General features: G+C 35.3%; 1 annotated feature.

Annotated features, from left to right (window-relative positions):
• Nucleotides 226–395: an enhancer, noted in NCBI's record as "experimental_9822 CRE fragment used in MPRA reporter constructs". NCBI's record gives its function as "activates a minimal promoter by MPRAs in K562 erythroleukemia cells, with activity observed for the introgressed 10:110629512 variant allele {active_cell/tissue: K562}" and the evidence as "EXISTENCE:reporter gene assay evidence [ECO:0000049][PMID:34662402]".

The raw sequence follows: 1,120 nt of genomic DNA, 5'->3' as shown, positions 1-1,120 counted from the left end.
TCTCCCTCTCCCCCACCTCCCTCTTTCCCCGCCCCTCACCCCTCTTTGTTATCTCTGTATGATATTTCCATGTGGCAGCCTTAATATGGGTTGACTTCTTATTTGGTGGAGGAAGATTTCTTAACCATCACTGGAAGGAGCTTCTGGGTCTTTGCTCACATATCCTTAAAAGTTATTATAATCACTCCCCGCCCACTAAAATTCCATTAATCAAGGCAGTCACAAAGGGCCACCTATTTTAAGGAAAGGATACATAGTCTCCACCAATTCATGGGAGGAGTATCAAATAATTTTTGGAAATGGGAAACCATCATAATCTTCAAAGAGTAGCTTTAACTCACATCTTGCCCAAGGAAATGGAAGCTGTTTAAGTTGACTACCTTGGTATGCTATATAATAGTGAAACATAAGAAACAATGTAATTATTTTAAAATATGAAAATAGTTAAATATATGATGCTACACGTATATAATGGATCATTGTACAACCATTAGAAATTGTGGTTTTGAAGAATCTTAATTATATGTGAAAATATCTGATATGTAATATCATTCAGAATAAATTAGAATACCAGATTATGTATAAAGAATCATGCCATGGGGGAATAGTCACGTATATATTCATAGGATAAGAACTAGGAGGAAATATAACAGTCATCTTTATGCTGTGAGCTTATAGACTATTTAACATTTATTTCTATTTTCTGTAGTTACACATTCCCTACAAAAGTCTTTGTATTACTATTAGAAAGTAAGGGAAAATAAATTAGAGGCCCACAGATACTAAGTAAACTTTCACATGGTTCAAATCACTGAGTTTTTCTGTTGAAATTTAAGTTTGGTGTCTCTTATTTCCTTTGTTTCTTCTCAATGGTGTACTTTTTTTTTTCTATAAAACTGGAATAAAACCTGCCTTCGTTAATAGCACTTACACTATCCATGCCCTCTGTCTGGCTTTAAATATTCAAGCCACCCACACTCTGTCCACCCACACCTTCTCAGCAGTACATAGGGAAAGCAGTACATACTGGGGAGTAATGTGTCTGTACCTTATAATGAATATCAGTATTAATATTCCACATTCTTTGGCCTTGAGAGGACACAGGACTCATTTTCCTTAA

Source organism: Homo sapiens, chromosome 10, assembly GCF_000001405.40.
Source record: "Homo sapiens chromosome 10, GRCh38.p14 Primary Assembly".
Classification (NCBI taxonomy): domain Eukaryota; kingdom Metazoa; phylum Chordata; class Mammalia; order Primates; family Hominidae; genus Homo; species Homo sapiens.
This window is presented reverse-complemented; position numbering and strand designations above follow the sequence as displayed.